This window comes from Homo sapiens, chromosome 6 (assembly GCF_000001405.40).
Source record: "Homo sapiens chromosome 6, GRCh38.p14 Primary Assembly".
NCBI classification, from domain to species: domain Eukaryota; kingdom Metazoa; phylum Chordata; class Mammalia; order Primates; family Hominidae; genus Homo; species Homo sapiens.
Window position 1 is genome coordinate 27674249 of NC_000006.12, and position 17885 is coordinate 27692133.

General features: G+C 43.5%; 3 non-coding genes across 3 annotated transcripts, besides 6 other annotated features; 1 reads left to right on the forward strand and 2 right to left on the reverse strand.

Moving 5' to 3' along the window:
• Positions 4338-4839: an enhancer, noted in NCBI's record as "H3K4me1 hESC enhancer chr6:27646365-27646866 (GRCh37/hg19 assembly coordinates)". NCBI's record gives its function as "activates a minimal SCP1, AML or CMV promoter by ChIP-STARR-seq in primed H9 embryonic stem cells {active_cell/tissue: H9 hESC(primed)}" and the evidence as "EXISTENCE:reporter gene assay evidence [ECO:0000049][PMID:30033119]".
• TRV-AAC4-1 (tRNA-Val (anticodon AAC) 4-1) lies at positions 6858-6930 on the reverse strand. Its single transcript has one exon. It is a non-coding gene; the product is annotated as a tRNA-Val (tRNA).
• Positions 6861-6940: a silencer, noted in NCBI's record as "silent region_17035". NCBI's record gives its function as "represses an Ori minimal core promoter by ATAC-STARR-seq in GM12878 lymphoblastoid cells {active_cell/tissue: GM12878}" and the evidence as "EXISTENCE:reporter gene assay evidence [ECO:0000049][PMID:35858748]".
• Positions 10403-10542: a silencer, noted in NCBI's record as "silent region_17036". NCBI's record gives its function as "represses an Ori minimal core promoter by ATAC-STARR-seq in GM12878 lymphoblastoid cells {active_cell/tissue: GM12878}" and the evidence as "EXISTENCE:reporter gene assay evidence [ECO:0000049][PMID:35858748]".
• TRT-AGT2-2 (tRNA-Thr (anticodon AGT) 2-2) lies at positions 10447-10520 on the reverse strand. The gene has a single exon. It is a non-coding gene; the product is annotated as a tRNA-Thr (tRNA).
• Positions 13026-14414: a transcriptional cis regulatory region, noted in NCBI's record as "candidate enhancer chr6.1284 targeted for multiplex CRISPR interference". NCBI's record gives its function as "positively regulates ZKSCAN8 gene expression in K562 cells {active_cell/tissue: K562}" and the evidence as "EXISTENCE:mutant phenotype evidence [ECO:0000015][PMID:30612741]".
• Positions 13667-13746: an enhancer, noted in NCBI's record as "active region_24298". NCBI's record gives its function as "activates an Ori minimal core promoter by ATAC-STARR-seq in GM12878 lymphoblastoid cells {active_cell/tissue: GM12878}" and the evidence as "EXISTENCE:reporter gene assay evidence [ECO:0000049][PMID:35858748]".
• Positions 13907-14186: a silencer, noted in NCBI's record as "silent region_17037". NCBI's record gives its function as "represses an Ori minimal core promoter by ATAC-STARR-seq in GM12878 lymphoblastoid cells {active_cell/tissue: GM12878}" and the evidence as "EXISTENCE:reporter gene assay evidence [ECO:0000049][PMID:35858748]".
• TRI-AAT2-1 (tRNA-Ile (anticodon AAT) 2-1) lies at positions 13940-14013 on the forward strand. The gene has a single exon. It is a non-coding gene; the product is annotated as a tRNA-Ile (tRNA).

The following is a 17885-nucleotide window of genomic DNA, read 5'->3' on the forward strand; positions in this document are numbered from 1 at the left end:
ATCTGTTAGGGTCTTTAGCCTATTTTTTTATTGGGTTGTGTTCCTGCTGTTTAGTTTTAAGAGTCCTTTGCATATTTTGAATAAGTTGTTCATTACATAAGCTTTTTGCAAATATTTTCTTTAATCTGTGTCTTCTCACTCTTCTGATATTATCTCTAGCAGAGTAGAATTTTAAATTTTAATGACGTTTATTACTTCTTTCATGGGACATATCTTTGATGTTTTATCTAAAATGTGATTGCTTAGTCATGTGTGGTGGAACACGCCTGTAGCCCCAGCTACTTGGGAGGCTGATGTGGAAGGATTGCTTGAGCCTGGGAGTCAGAGGTTGCAATGAGCCATAATCACATCACTGCACTAGGATGACAGAGTGAAACCTTGTCTTTAAAGAAAACAAAAAACCAGAGGTGACAATGACACTCTTTGGAACATTGCATAACTTTTGTACATTCTGGAGCACATAGATTTCTCTCGAATTGTATGATACGCATTTGTAGAAAATTTCTATTGAGTTGGATGATAAGCATTTATAGTAAACTATGAACTATAACTGTCTTTTCCTCCAAAACTGTGTATATGTGCATGTTTGTATGCACACAAGAAAAAAGGTTAATAAAGTAAAAATATCAATTAGTTATTCTCTAGAATAGTATCACATCATAATTATTATAGTTCTTTTCTGAAAGATTGTATATAAAAATAAGAATTATTCGAGTCGCCCAACAGAACATCTGTTTATATTTTTCTGCCAACTGGGACCCAAGCTAGGCTCCCGTGGGAGTCCTCCTTTTGACCTGCCCCTAGCGAGAGGAAGTACTGCCCACTCTCTGAGTGGGAGTCTTAGCTTTGTTGCTTTCTTGCTTTCTTTATGAGCAACTGTCTTAGGTTTTTTTTTTTTTTTTTGAAACGGAGTCTCTCGCTCTGTTGCCCAGGCTGGAGTGCAGTGGCGAGATCTCAGCTCACTGCAACCTCCACCTCCTGGGTTCAAGCAATTCCCCTGCCTCAGCCTCCGGAGTAGCTGGGACTACAGGCGCGTGCCACCTCGCCCAGCAAATTTTTTGTATTTTTAGTAGAGACGGGGTTTCACCATGTTAGCCAGGTTGGTCTCGATCTCCTGAACTCGTGATCCGCCCGCCTTGGCCTCCCAAAGTGCTGAGATTGCAGGCGTGAGCCACTGTGCCTGGCCTTTTGTAGGTCTTTTATCTTATTTCTTCTTCCATATGTTACTTCTGACAATCCTAAGATTATTAGAATCATTAGAATCCTCTCATGGGTGCCCATGTAGTTAATAAAAAAAACAAAATAGGTATGTGTCACTTTAATTATTTCTGATTTTAAAAATATCTTTTATTGATACTGAGGTAGTTTATGCTAATATTGGGCCTGATCCTTCATTAACATTTTCTAATTGAGTAATAAAATAAAATAAAATGTCATTGCCATATCCATGGTCATCTAGGTTTTCTCCTGTTATATTTTAGCTTAACAGTTTTGCATTTTATATTTAGAGCTATGATCCATTTTGAGTTAATATTTGTGAAGGGTGTGTCTGTGTCTAGGTTCACTGTTTTGCATGTGGAAGTTCAGTTGTTCAATTGTTTCCATTTGTTGAAAAGACTATCTTTGCTCTATTGTGTTGCCTTTGCTTCTTTGTCAAAGATTGACTACTTGACTACCATGTTTGTACAGGTCTATTTCTGGTCTCTCTAGATCTATTTGTCATTATTGTTTGTCATTGATCTATTTGTCTATTTTTTCACCACTCATTGTCTTTCTCCTTCAATTTCTCTTTTGCTGGTTCCTCCTGCTCTCCTCCATCCTTGTACCAGGATATCTCAGGGCTCAGTTTTTTTTTTTTTTTTTTTTTGACAGAATCTCACTCTGTCTGCCAGGCTGGAATGCACTGGCATGATCTCGGCTCACTGCAACCTCCATCTCCTGGGCTCAAGCAAGTATCCTGCCTCAGTCTCCCGAGTAGCTGGGATTACAGGAGTGTGCCACCACGCCCTGCTACTTTTTGTATTTTTAATAGAGATGGGGTTTTGCCATGTTGGCCAGGCTTGTCTTGAACTGCTGATCTCAGGTGATCCACCTGCCTCGGCCTCCCAAAGTGCTGGGATTACAGACATGAGCCACGACGCCTGGCCCACTTACGATCATTTTAAAAACACACTATATAACTTATTTATTTTGTATATTCTCTGTCTTCCCTATGAGAATGCAAACTCCATGAGGGCAAGATATTTGTTTCCTGTCAGATTACTAATACCTAGAAGAGATATGGGTGACATTCAATAAATATTTGTTGAAAATACATTAGAATACAGGTTTCATTATCCCATTTCACAGATTAGAAAATAAAATTCAGAGAGGTCACTGAGTTTCCCAAGGACACAACATAATAAACACTAAGACTGAAGCTCAGATATTCAGATTTCCTGCCTAGAGATCTTTCTAGTCTTCCAGGGAGACTTAGAGGAAGACAGTGTATTTGAGGAGGGCAAGGAGGCAAATTCGTCTGAAGTGTGGAAAGAGAAAGGACTCTAAGGGAAGTGGGATGGTTCTTGCTACCAAAACAAACAGCTTTCACCAAAAGAACCATGTATCTGACTAGAATTTCTTTTCTTTTCTTTTTTTTTTTTTGAGGCAGAGTCTCACCCTGTTGCCCAGGCTGGAGTGCAGTGGTGTGATCTCCGTTCATTTCAACATCTGCCTCTCGGGTTCAAGCAATTCTCCTGCCTCAGCCTCCTGAGTAGCTGGAATTGGCGCCACCAAGCCTGGCTAATTTGTTTTTGTATTTTTAGTAGAGACCAGGTTTTGCCATGTTGGCCAGGCTGATCTTGAACTCCTGACCTCAGGTGATCTGCCCAACTCAGCCTCTCAAAGTGCTGGGATTACAGGCATGAGCCACCGCGCCCGGCAGACTAGTATTTCTCTAATGCCCGCATCCAAGGGTAGCAATACATTTAATTTGCATTAGGGAATATTTCCTGGGCCATTGTTCATACCCATTCTCTTAAATGAAAAATGTCCTCCTTTTACTTTGAAATATGCACTTCCCATTTTCTCCAGGAAGTAGTACCAATTACAAGCATAATATTTGTACGAGTTATCTCTGGCAACTCTCCATATACTCAGAGTGTCTCTATATTGAGCTTTTTCTGCCTCTCCCTATATTGTAAAAATCATTTTCATATTATATGCTCAGTTTCACCCTCTTAATACCAGTGTCTTTTCATAGAACCTTCCTTTTTCCTGAAAACTGCAATAGTGAGGAATACTTTTTTTTTTGAGACAGAGTCTCACTCTGTTGTCTGAGCTGGAGTGCAGTGGCACAATCTAGGCTCACTGCAACCTCCGCCTCCTGGGTTCAAGCAATTCTCCTGCCTCAGCCTCCCAAGTAGCTGGGATCACAGGTGCCTGCCACTACGCCCAGTTAATTTTTTGTATTTTTAGTAGAGATGGGGTTTCATCATGTTGGCCTGGCTGGTCTCAAACTCCTGACCTCGTGATTTGTCCGCCTCAGCCTCCCAAAGTGCTGGGATTACAGGTATGAGCCACCTTGCCCGGCTGTGAGGAATACTTTGACCTCAGACACACATGGATAGAAATATTGGTTCCAAGTTCTATAACTTGTGTGAGCTTGAGGAAGTTATTTACATTATTTAACGTCCCTGCTCCTCAACTTCTGCATCTATAAGACAGGGAAATGATTGTAAGCAACAATTGCACCTACACCTTAGGCTTGCTTTGTTCGTTTACATATGAAAAATCATTAAATACTTGATTTAATGGCTGGTAATAAATTGTAGCTATTACTATTGTTCTAGTGATTTCTTTTTCATTATTAGTTTATAGGGAATTACAAAGATCAGAACTTTGGAGATTTGTTAAAAATATACCCACATCCAATAGTATATTAAGGAATGAGCAAGACTGTAAAGCCAGGAATATCTGTGTGTGAGCCATAACTCACATACTAGCTCCACACTTAGGCAAGACAGATGATCGCTGCAAGCCTCGGTGCTTCAACTTAAAATTAGGAAAATAATAGTTTACTCAGAGAATCAGGGTAAGGGTTCAGTCTTATATTCAAAGGTATTCATTGAGCGCAAGGCAGTATGGATTCATTGATGAGCAAGAACAGACACTGTTCCTGTCCAAATGCAGCTTATATTCTAGGGAGACAGACATCAATCTAGTTATTATGCTCATAAATGTAAAGGTGGCAAGGGAACAAAGTTCATGGTATTACGAGGAATACAGGACTTTCACTGATGTAGTTTAAGGAAGTCTTTCCTAAAGAAAAAATAGTTTCCCTGAGATACAGTCACGAGGTAAAGATAACTAACTAGGCAAAGCCAAGCGCAAAGCTTTTCAGCTAGAGGGAACCTCAGGTGAAAAGTCCAGTCATGAAAAAGAGACTGATTGCGTGGAGTTCATGGAGTATGAGGCATAGACTGCAGGAGACATCAAACCATGACTTGCAGATGAAGAAGCATTTTAAAAGTTAGACACGCACAGCATTTCAGGAAGTTATATATAAGGAGTGTTATAGAAGATAACACCTCTAAAATGTGTAGTATATATATCAGGGGTTTTTTTTGAGACAGAGTTTTGCTCTTGTTGCCTAGGCTGGAGTGCAATGGCGTGATCTCGGCTCACTGCGAACTCCTCCTCCCGGGTTCAAGCGGTTCTCCTGCCTCAGCCTCCCAAGTAGCTGGGATTGCAGGCGTGTGCCACCACGCCGAGATATTGTTTGTATTTTTAGTAGAGATGGGGTTTTGCCCTGCAGGCCAGGCTGGTCTCAAACTTCTGACCTCAGGTGATCAGCCTGCCTCGGCCTCCCAAAGTGCTAAGACTACAGGCGTGAGCAACCGCGCCAGGCTAATTTTTGTATTTTTAGTAGAGACAGGGTTTCGCCATGTTCGAACTTCTGACAGGTGATCTGCCCACCTCGGTCTCCCAAAGTGCTGGGATTACAGGCTTAAGTCACCGCGCCCGGCCCAGATTCTTAAAATGTTAGTTTCTGCCTCCTCTTTCCTTTACCTTGTCAAATTAACCAGGGTCTGAGGGCTGGGCGCGGTAGCTCGCGCCTTTAATACCAGCACTTTCGGAGGCTGAGGCGGGTGGATCACCTGAGGTCAGGATTTCGAGACCACCCTAACACGGTGAAGCCCCGTCTCTACTAAAAATTAGTCGGGCGTGGTGGCACATTCCTGTAATCCCAGCTACTTGGGAGGCTAAGGCAGAGAGAATCGCTTGAAACCGAGAGGCGGACCGAGAGGCGGAGCTTGCAATAAGCCAAGAACGTGCCATTGCAGTCCAGCATGGGCAACAAGAGTGAAATTACGACTCAAAAAATAAAACAACCAGAATCTGAGATCTGGTGTGAGTTAACCTCTAAGGAAGTCATTTAAATTTCTTTCAATAAGTTTGAAAGAATTCATGTATCAGCATGATCGTGAGAGTTCTCTTAGTGCACTGGGGGTAGGGGTTGGCGATCGACCATCAGGAGAGCCCAGTCTTTGCCACTTGCGGGGAGTCACTTATTGCAGGCAGGGTGTTAACTGAGTTTAACACTAGGAGACAAAATGAGGAAATAATCTCTCAGAATGTAGGTTAGGAAAGTAGAAACGCCCTCCGAGTGTATGTCTATCCCAGAAGAAAACCTGTCTTAAAGTTCGCGATTTTTACCAAAATAGGCCACGAAACACACAAAGTCGCTAAACTTTTTAACCCTTTCCTCTTTTTCTTTCTTATTTCCGAGAAATCTCGCAAACGGCGTGAACACTACGCTGATTCCAGAAATGGTCGGGTTCCCTTCCTTCACTCAGGATGGTCGCCTGCTGGGAGCTCATTTCGAACCGAGCTGAACGCTCATTGCTGAGTCCTGGGAGAAGGTCGCGTTTGTACAGAAGGCTCCTGGCAGCGAGCAAGGCCGGGAGTGGGCCCAGTGCGCACGAAGTCGCGCCCCGAATTCCCACTGGGAGGAACGCACTGGAATTGAAATGTCTGAGATCAAGCCCCGCTGAGAATCAAGTCCCAGAGGATCTTCTCGGCTGGTGGAAACGTGGAGGGGAAAGGCGGTCACGAAAATTGAAGTCTCCTAGTCCAATACAGATTATCCAGGCCGTTGACGGCAGGAATATATTTTTATTTATTCCTTTACCCTTCTCTCCTCACAGCTCTTCCTTCTCGTCCACGCTTGATGGGTTTTAGAAATATTGTGTGGCACTAACAGTACCGATAGTACTACTACTAATAATTGCCCGAGAGGTCTGCTATCCGTTAACTGACACTCGGTAGCGGCCGCTGCGGAATTTCGAATTGCGGGAAACCCGCAGACTTAGTAAGGTAAAAGCGCAGTAACACGAGGTTTCCGTAGTGTAGTGGTTGTCACGTTTGTCTAACACGCGAAAGGCTTATATTATTTTTCGTTGCTGCTAGGTTTCTATTCCCTCTTACGCACAAACCCGTTTGCGGTTCTGGACTTTAAAAATACACAATTCTGAGTTCAATTTGTGGTCCAGAAATCTAAGATGGAATTCCAAGGAAGCCAGTCTCACCTGAGCTGCGTAGGCCGAGTCCTGGGCCGTGGGCGTCTCCTGGGATTGACACCTCCTAGGGTTCTGAAGCCCAGAAGAGGAGGAAAAGCGATGGGAAACTTACTGGGGCGAGAGGAGGTGGGGTGACACGGGCTTCTGTGTCAGTGGCGTGAGAAATCTTTCATCTTAGACTTCTGGACCACAAATTGAGCTCAGAACTGCGTATTTTTAAAGTCCAGAACCGCAAACTGGTTCGTGCGTAAGAAGGAATAGAAACTAAGCAGCAACCAAGAATATCATAAGCCTACCTGTTTCCGCCCGGTTTCGAACCGCGGACCTTTCGCGTGTTAGGCGAACGTGATAACCACTACACTACGGAAACACCCTCTTTCTGCTCCCTTACCTTGAAACATGGAAGTATATATTCCCTGATCCCCAAGTTTAGAAATTTTGGAATTGTTCTTTCCTTGTAGAAAATTTTCCGATTGTAGTATTGTTCTCACCCTCACTTTTCCCATTAATTGGAATCACCAATATCACATACCGATGACAGATACGAGCAGAAATGCGTTCGCCAAATATATCGACTATATTGTTCGGAGTGTTCAGAGTAGCCTGTTGACAACAGTCAAAAAACTGGGGGCCGGGCGCTGTGGCTCGCGCCCGCAATCCCAGCACTTTGGGAGGCCAAGGAGGGGCGGATCAGCTGAGGTCAGGAGTTCGAGATCAGCCTGAGCAACATGGAGAAACCTCGTCTCTACTGAAAAAAAAAAAAAAAATTAGCCAGGCGTGGTGGCGCATGCCTGTAATCCCAGCTACTCGGGAGGCTGAGGCAGGAGAATCGCTTGAATCCGGGAGGCGGAGGTTGCGGTGAGCCTAGATCGCGCCATTGCATTCCAGCCCGGGCAACAAGAACCAAACTCCGTCTCAAAAAAACAAACAAACAAAAAACTAAAAAATGCCCCAGTGCCCATCAAGGAAGACCTCCTGGAGAAAACGACGGCAGATCTGAGACTTGATCAATGAAAAGAAGAATGATGGTTGTAGATAGGTTTTGTTTTTTTTTTTTTTTTTTTTGCTCCCTCTGGAGCTCTTAGACGAAGAAAATGATTTTTTGTCATTAGGAACTGAATGGAGTGGTCATAATCTTAGGGAGGAAATCCAAGGATTTGAAGCAGGGCTGGAAAGAAATTAGACTAAATGGGACTATATGCGCTGGATCAGAGAAGAAGGGAGGAAGTGTCTCCAAAAGAGGGGAAGATATATTTTAATCTGAATGTGATGAGAGAAATTGGAGAGATTGGGGACTAATCTTTGATTCTTGGCATGTAGATGTCGTCCAGTGAAGAGTTTTGTTTTCTTGGTTTTCTAAAAAATTTATTAAGGTGTACTAGTCAATGAACACATATGACATCAACTCACAAATTTAATTCCATCAACAAATGCCAACAAAGATAAACATAAAGAAAACTATAACTGTTCAAATTATATGAAAATGGTTGAAACCAAAGATTTAAAAAATCTTAGGGAGGCAGAGGCAGGCGGATCACTTCAGGTCAGGAGTTGGAGACCAGCCTGGCCAGCATGGTGACACCCTGTCTCTACTAAATTAAAATGATTGACTCCACAATCCAGTCAAGACGTAAATGTCAGTCCTGAAAAGTGGCAAGATTCTTGAGATTTTTTCATGTGTGATCATGGTTTAGATTTTAATCAAGTTTCAGGGAACTTAAAACAATCTGTGAGTGTTGGACATTCCTAAGTTTGGTGTGCTGCTTATGTGGAATTGTGGACACAGCGTTAGCATTAAACAGTCTTAACAAAGAGAAGAAAGTACTATAGAAGGCAGTAAGAACAGTGGACTCCAGAAAAATCTGTGCTGAGTCTGCCGGATAACAATATTTGGAAGTTGTTTTCTGTAGTGTAGTTGTTAACACGTTCGCCTCACACGCTTAAAGTTCTCTGGTTGGATACCAGATGGAAATGCCTCCTGAGACTATTTCTCCTTCCCAACATTTTCCATCATCGCCATGCCATACCTTTCACCTTTTCAGGAATATTCAAATCAATTTACTGAAGTTTATTCAGTGCCCCGCCGGGCACGGTGGCTCACTCCTGTAATCCCAGCACTTTGAGAGGCCGAGACGGGCGGATCACCTGACATTAGGAGTTTGAGACCAGCCTAGCCAACATGGTGAAACCCCGTCTCTACTAAAAATACAAAAATTAGCCAGGCGTGATGACGGGCTCCTGTAATCCCAGCTATTGGGAAGGCTGACGCAGGAGAATCGCTTGAATGGGGGAGGCGGATTTTGCAGTGAGCCGAGACCGCCACTGCATTCCAGCCTGGGGTACAGAGTGAGACTCCGTCTCAAAAAAATAAATAAATAAAATAAAGTAAAGTTTATTTATGCTCAATGTCAGGATTTAACACCTGGACGTGAAGAAGAAAGAACCACATAGTTAGCTTAAGCCAACACAAGGCTTACATTAAGAGCACACACACACATACACACACACACACACACACACACACACACACAGAGCTGTCCATTTGAGGATCCTAGGAAAAGTGGCATTTTGCCCTTGAAGAAGGAAAGTCTTTTTGAATAAAGAATATGTACCTGTATATGTGAGTAAAGATTGACATATAGTTGATAAGTCTTAGAATACCCAAAGAAACAGAGCAGATAAGACAGAAACACCTTACTCTTTACGTTTGGTGTTTTTCTCAGATCTTTTATGTGAAAATCTGCCTAGAAAAGCCTTCAGATATTAAAATGCATTTTTCATTCGCCTCTAGTCTATTGTTAATAGTTTATCAGTTTTGTCATGAATAATTCTTTAAGATGATATCACAGTCTCTTCTTTTCAGAAACTGTGGTGATATCCTAAGTCCAGAATCATTCAAAGAGGAAGAATAGCTATTACAGTAATCAATTTAAAGTTTAAGGCCGGGCGCGGTGGCTCACGCCTGTAATCCCAGCACTTTGGAAGCCCGAGGTGGGCAGATCAACCGAGGTTGGGAGTTCGAGACTAGCCTGACCAACATGGAGAAACCCCAAAATTAGCCAGGCGTGGTGGCGCATGCCTGTAATCCTAGCTACTCAGGAGGCTGAGGCAGGAGAATCGCTTGAACCCGGGAGGCGGAGGTTGCGGCGAGCCGAGATGGCGCCGTTGCACTCCAGCCTGGGCAACAAGAACCAAACTCCCGTCTCAAAAAAAAAATTAGAAAAGCCATTAGTGGTCTATTGTAAAAAAGTTTTTGAGTGCCATCTGTATTCCAGTTGCGTTCAGGGTTTTTTTTTTGTCTGTTTTTTTGAAACGGGGTCTCTCTGTCGCCCAACCTGGAGTGCAGTGGCGCCATCTCGTCACACTGCAAGCTTCGCCTCCCGGGTTCAAGCGATTCTCCTGCCTCAATCTCCGGAGTGGCTGGGATTATAGGGGCCTGCCACCAAGCCCGGCTAACTGTTGTATTTTTAGTAGAGGCGGGGTTTTGCCATATTGGCTAGGGTGGTCTGGAACTCCTGACCTCAGGTGATCCGCAAGCCTCGGCCTCCCAAAGTGCTGGGATTAAAGGCGACAGCCACCTCGCCCGGCCAAAAGGGCCTATTTCTAAAGCTGTTGAATCTGCATCACTTGCTCTCGAACGGTAGGACAAAGGAGCAAACCTCAGCTATGCTAGGCTACCTAGCCTTACAATAGGACAAATATTGTGTCTTAAAGTTATCATGAATTAGGAATGCTTGCCATGAAACTGTTGGCATTTCCCGCTTCTCGCCTAATGTACCTCCTGTTTTCTAGCAAGGCTTTTAAAAGCCTGAGTATTACAGCATTTATTGGGTGTAAATTCAGTTGCACCGGGTGAAATTACAAAATGTGTAAGGTACAGAAATCAAGGCCCCGCTGGGATTCGAACCCAGGATCTCCTGTTTACTAGACAGGCGCTTTAACCAGCTAAGCCACGGAGCCACAGCCGAGAAAGCCCTCGATCGTATACTACTTGAAAACTATTTCACACTTCCGTAATTTGCAACAATCCCAGCAACTAGTTTGTTAGGTGACTTCACAACAAAAATAGACATTCAGGTCTCAGTGAAAACCAAATAATTTTATTTTGAAAGGATTAATTCATAGGCTGGATTGAAATGACTATTTCCCCTTGAAAAGTTGTCCCGGCCCGGCGCGGTGGCTCACACCTGTAATCCGAGCATTTTGGGAGGCTGAGGCGGGCGGATCACCTGAGGTCAGGAGTTCCAGAACAGACTGGCCAACATGGCGAAACCCCGTCTCTACTAAAAGTACAAAAATTTGCCGGCGTGGTGGCGGGCGCCTGTAATCCCAGCTACTCAGGAGGCTGAGGCAAGAGAATCGCTTGAACCTGGGAGGTGGAGGTTGCAGTGAGCCGAGATCATGCCACTGCACTCCCACTCCAGGCTGGGCGACAAGAGCGAGACTCTGTCTAAAAAAAAAAAAAAAAAGAAAGAAAAAGAAAAAAATAAAAGAAAAGAAAAGTTGTTCCAACATGGATACCGCTAGACTCACTATAGGCTCTGGTGGCCAGGTAGGGACTTTTGCTGAACCTCAAAGGAAAAATGAATTGACTCTTTATTAACCGTCATTTTGTTTTAACCACACCTGTTCTCTTCTCTGTTAGTGTGGAGAAGCAGGGGTTATTGGTGGAAGATTAGCACATGTCTGACACGTGGTTGCTGTAGGAAAAGAACTATGAGGATATGTGGTGCATCTATCAGATCCCCCCCTCCTATCGCTTCTCGGCCGTTTGGCTAAGATCAAGTGTAGATTCACCACCCGGGCCCCCCACGCCCAGGTGGTGGCACTCATTCCTCAACTACAGGAATATTAACTACTGATGGCTCATGTCTGGGTCCGACTCTGGAACCTACCTTCAGTGGAAGGGAAGTCACTTGCTCCAAGTCACACCCCACCACTGGAGCAGCTCAAATCCCATGACTGTTGATGGAGGAATATATAGGTCTGCCCTTCCCGCCTCCCCACTATAATTAAGGACATTTGTGAAGGACCATTCCAGATTTATATACACCTGTGAGATGGGCTGGACGTATGTTGCGCCTGTATTGAATTCAGCTTCTGTCTTTTCTCAGTCCTGCTCACCTCACCCTCTCACAGATGCTGATTTTGAGAGCGTCCCCAATGAACTTCCCGCACACAAATCGCCATCTCAGTGTCTGTTTCCTAGGGAACTGACCGATGACAAAAAGCAAGTGACTGATGCCTACGGTGGTCTCTTGAGGTCAAAGTAAGTCTAAATGTGGCCCAGTCTTTCAGGAATCATTTACCATAACAAGTGTCCTAGTAAAACAACAATGATAATAATAATCTGTGCCACAAACTTTGAGCATTTTCACTACAGAACAAAACAAACGAAGACATCTACTAGTTGATTAAAAAGATGTACAGGCCGGGCACGGTGGCTCACGCCTGTAATCGCGGCACTTTGGGAGGCCGAGGCGGGCGGATCACTTGAGATCAGGAGTTCAAGACCAGCCTGGCCAACATGAAACACTGTCTCTACTAAAAATACAAAAATTAGCCTGGCGTGGCGGCTCGCACTTGTAATCCTAGCTACTCGGGAGGCTGAGGAACGAAAATCGCTTGACCCGGGAGGCGGAGTTTGCAGTGAGCCAAGATCACACCACTGCAATCTAGCCTGGGCAACAGAGCGACACTCTGTCAAAAAATAAATTAATTAAATAAACAAAAATAAAATAGGGCCGGGCACGGTGGCTCACGCCTGTAATCCCAGCACTTTGGGAGGCCGAGAAGGGTGGATCACGAGGTCAGGAAATCGAAACCATCCTGACAAACACGGTGAAACCCAGTCTGTACTAAAAATACAAAAAATTAGCCGGGCATGGTGGCGGGCGCCTGTAGTCCCAGCTACTCCGGAGGCTGAGGCAGGAGAATGGCGTGAACCTGGGAGGCGGAGCTTGCAGTGGGCCAAGATCGCACCACCGCACTTCAGCCTGGGCGACAGAGCGAGACTCCGTCTCAAAAAAAAAAAAAAAAAAAAAAAAAAAAGTGCAACTTTAGTGAAAGGAGCTGAAGGACACGAAAATGTGATTTATTATTTATGATGTTAAACTAATTTTAATTTTTCATATTCAAAGAGTTGAAATGTAAAGTTAGAAAATAAATGGCAAATTTGTCTAGTCAAAGGATATGATTCTCATTTCTAAGGCGAAGACATGAATATAAAGCATTAAACACATATACTAATAGTGCATATCCAAGATAAGACTTTACAATTTATATATATAAATAAGTGTATGCATATACGTCTAAATAGAGGGGGAGGGCATAAGGAGGGCATTTAAAATGTACATAGGCCAATTAACTTTTGAAAATATTACTACCCTTAACTAACAGAAACAGTCGTGGTAGGAAGAGGGGGAAAGTAGAAACTTGTCAAAAAACAGACAGTAAATCATGAATTAGCTGCTCCAGTGGCCCCTTCCTGGGTTGTCACCTGCCAGCAAGAGCATCAGGCTCCGTCTGGAAGCGGGGCACCTCTCAGGGGCAAATGTTTCACGCCTGCTTCCTCTGAGTTGTCGAATCCGGGCCTCGCCTCCTCCTCCCTTTTCAGATCATAGGATTTCTCTCCCCCGCAAATAATGGCCCTTACTTCGTAAACACGCTGGCTCCGTAATCCCTATTATTGTTTTGGGGGTTTGGTTCTGTCCAGGGAGGAGGTGAGGGCAGATGCTCAAGAGAGGCTGTCCCCACCGTCCTTTTGTCTCAGCGAACCGCAGTCCGCGCCCGAGCGCCACTAGCTGTCCTGGGACGGGAACTGCAGCGGCAAGTGTGTGACTTTCTTGAGCCCGGAGCCACAGGCCTGGGAAGCGCCGCTGAGACTTCAGGGTCGTAGTGACAGAGGAACCACCCGAGGCTAGGCGGGGAGAGGGTGCAGTTTCCGGATCCCGAAGGCTTCGAGAAGAGCCGACCTGTCTGGAAGGGTCTCCAAGAACAGAGAGGACTCTGCAACCATCACTCGGGAGCCGCGTCCTTTCATCCTTGAGACAGCTCCGTGGTCCAACGGTTCCCCGATCCGCTGGCCGAGATCTCAAGCTTGGATGCAACTTCGGATTCGCCCCAGGCAGGAGGAAGGAAGCCCCGATTGGAAACGTTGACTTGAATCTTCTCGGATCAGAATTAGCAGGTTAAGAAAAACTGTTTCCCCGTAAGAAGCAGGGTTCTTTGGTGTTCAATGTGGAGCTCCGCCACTCCCAGCCCGGGTGAAGGAAAACTGGGAAACAGAATGAATGTGATTATCTATTCGAAGATAAATTTCCACAAAGCATGCCGTTTGATAGTAGCTTATAATGTGGAAGTAAGGCATCCTGTCATCCGGCCGGTTAGCTCAGTTGGTTAGAGCGTGGTGCTAATAACGCCAAGGTCGCGGGTTCGATCCCCGTACTGGCCAAGTATTCTCTGTGGCTTTTATCACCAGAATGGATAGTAACCCAGACATCGATCTAAACGTGTACCTGTGTGTTTCTCCAGGCTTAACTTTGCCCCGAGAAAACGGATCTGTGAATTTGGTGCGCCCTCGCTTACTCGACAGCGGTTAATTTGAACGGGGACGTTTCTTTCCGCTGCCTCCAAGGCATACCCACATCCTACCCGTAAAACAAAGGGGCTATAGGCACCTTACAGTGACAGAGGTACGTTACGGTTGGAGGCTTTTGTGATTTTTGTCCTCCTCTGCCCCGGGGAAATTTTCTTGGAGTAAAATACTGAATTATTTGATTACTTCCAAAAAAAAAAAAAAAAACGCATGTAAAACCACCCACCGTTTGTATCACTCATGCTGGGTCATTCCGTTTTCTTCATTTCAGTCTAAGAGAAAACAAGATTATAAAGTGAGAAAGAAAAATTTTCAAAAACTTCAACGATAACAATGACAAAGATCTTTGTTTTATATACTCTGAACGCTTATTCCAATGTGAACAGGATACATACCTTTAAAAATATTTTTCTAATTTAAGAGTTTTTTAAAAAATAAATAACACCTTATTATTATACAAAGAAACATTTTAAAGACAATTTAAAAAGATATAGTAAAAAGTTCTCTTTTCTTTCTTTCTTTTTTTTTTTTTTTTTTTTTTTTTTTTTTTTGAGACAGAGTCTTGCTCTGTAGCCCAGGCTGGAGTGCAGTGGGCCGATCTTGGCTCACTGCAGCCCCTGTCTCCCAGGTTCAAGCTATTCTCCTGCCTCAGCCTCCCGAGTAGCTGGGATTATAGGCGTGCAGCACCATGTCTGGCTAATTTTTGTATTTTTAGTAGAGACGGGGTTTCGCCATGTTGGCCAGACTGGTCTCGAACTCCTAAGCTCAGGCGATCCACCCACCTCGGCCTCACAAAGTGCTGGGATTACAGGCGTGAGCCACGCTGCCTGGCCTTTCCTTCCATTTTTATTCTTCATCAGCTCAATTCTCACCACCACCTACTATAGGTAAACTCTGTCCTTAATTTCTCATATATCCCTACTGGGTTTCTTTATTTAAATACTGCATTTATATTGATTATTTTTTCTTCTTTTTCACACAAAAGAGAGCTTAGTTATTTACTCGTTGTTCTGCATTTACACTTTTTCTTAATGTATCTTAGATGTTTTAAATTGCACTTTTCAACTTTGTACACTGTTAAAAGCAGAGCTTATTTGGGAGGCCTAGGCGGGTGGATCACGAGGTCAGGAGATAAAGACCATCCAGCCAACATGGTGAAACCCTGTCTCTACTAAAAATACAAAAATTAACCGGGTGTGGCAGCACGCGCCTGTAGTCCCAGCTACTCGGGAGGCTGAGGCAGGAGAATTGCTTGAACCAGGGAGGCCGAGGCTCCAGTGAGCCAAGATCATGCCACTGCATTCCAGCCTAGGCGACAGAGCGAGACTCCATCTGAAAAAAAAAAAAAATCAGCTTATTTTCAAATGAGTTGATCCTACTAGCCAGGAATTGAATATAGATACTTCTTGTCCACTGTACAAAGTACAGGCTTTTTCATCGTAGGAAAGAGGGTGGTGAAGACGATACCCTTAATTTTCTCTTATAAGGTGAACAAAGCACTTTCTTTCCTAGACCATATGATCATCAAAGAGGTTTGAATATGGGCTCCCAAGCTGTACAATAATCAAAGGAAATTATATATAATTTCAACAAACATTTATTGATCTCTCACTCTTCGGTGTGGCAATCCGCTGTCTCTAGTGAAAAGATATGAAGGAAATAATGTTAAGTAACAAACTAGAGTACAAAAATATGTGTGTGCATGAATATTATATATGTATATATGTGTGTGTGTGCATATGTGTGTGTGTGTGTGTGTGTATATATATATATAGATATAGATATAGATTTTTTTTAGACACTGTAGCTCTATTGCCCAGGCTGGAGTGCAGTGGCATGATCTTGGCCAACTGCAACTGTGCCCAGCTGAAAGCCACTCCATCTTGGATGGTAACCCACCATATTGACTTCTGATTAACCCCAGTTCTGGGAATGCCTCTAAGATTTCTACTTTGAGGTACAATAAATCCTGCAATTAGGTGAAAACAACCTTGGTGTTATTGTAACCACATACTTACCATACACAAATCCTGCCCTTAGGCTAGGCGCGGTATGTCATGCCTATAATCCCAACACTTTGGGAGGCCGAGGTGGGCAGATTACTTGAGGTCCAGAGTTTGAGACCTGCCTGGCCAACATGGTGAAATGCCATCTCTACCAAAAACACAAAAATTAGTTGGGCATGGTGGGGCGTGCCTATAGTCCCAGCTACTCCAGAGGCTGAGGAAAGAGAATCGCTTGACCTGGGAGGCAGAGGTTGCAGTGAGCCAAGATCTGGCCATTCCAGCCTGGGCGACAGAAGGAGACCGTCTCAAAAGAAAAGAAAAAAAAAAATCCTGCCCTTAGGCAAATTCCCTGTGGTTCATAAGCCCTGGGTTTGGCTGGTGACAATGTGGGGATCCATCATCTTGTCTTGCTACCACTCAAGACATGGCTTCTGTTATTAAATGTTTCTTTCTGAGAAACTGAATTTGTCAGCCTCTTTCTTTGGCCTCTCAGCTTCCTCAGCCTTTAGGAGTAGACTTGTATAGACCTGCTCACGGTGGAATAAGACTGAAAGCAAACGACATCAGATTCTAACAGCTTTCAGAGGTAATGGTGGTGGGCAAGAGAAAGATACTCTTTCTGCATCAGACGTCTCATCAGCAACCTCGAATGAATGTTAGGAGAAAACAAAATAATGCCTCAAAATCTGGAGGAAAAATGTTTTAATACAGAATTCTATAGCTATGTGTAACATCAAATGTGAAGTTGGAATAAAGACATTTATAAACCTATCATGACTCAAAAAGCTGACCTACATTTTAAGACGCAAACTGAATATATATACTACAGGGAAAATAGGGGGGAAGACAGAGAAAGACATGGAACTCAGGAAATGATGAATCTGATCTAGGAGCTCAAAAATGAAAAACACAGGATGACAGCTATTCAAGAAACCTAGAATGCAACTAATCCATACGGGAGCAGGAAGCTAAAGGACTCAGAGAAGATTTACCAGATTTACCAGACAGGAGGGGATCATGCAGAATAGATTTAATTGAGAACTTGGTAAGTGTTAAGGATGTTGCATTAGAATGTATCATTCAGCTGCGAAATAAAAAATAAAAATGGGAAAAAGGAAGAATAATCCAATTGGCTTAGGACAGAAATACATCTCACGTGACAGGAACTACAGAGGTACTCTGACTCTTTCTCTGTGATTGGCACTGTTCTACCACATCTGGTGTTGGTATTACCCTTAAGCTGTCTAATCTTACAACTATAGTTAATACTGCTGCCACAAGCAGCAAAGTGGTTTTTCCCCATGCATTGAAGGAAAGTCATAACCCCTCCTCCCAATTATGAAAATATTATTATGCCAATTTAGGTCCCTTAAAGATTACATTGAACCTTAAACTTTTCTATGTAACAAACAAAATGCAGGTACTTTTACAGTGGTCATAGAACCAATTTATATATAATTTTTAAAGAATGATTAATAAGCAAGGCCATGAGATGGATGTTTATATTACACAGGAGATACAACTACATGTTTTGGAATTCTGAATTTAACAGGTGGTTGTTTCCTTTTGTTTTACAGATAGTCCTTCGAGATATTATTACAGTTAGTTAGAGAATTAAGAACAGGAGCTTTCTTAAAGATAATACAGGGACAACTGTGACTTTTCTCTCCATATGAATAAAAATTTACATTTTTCCTATCTTCTATTTTATGGCCAGAGAAA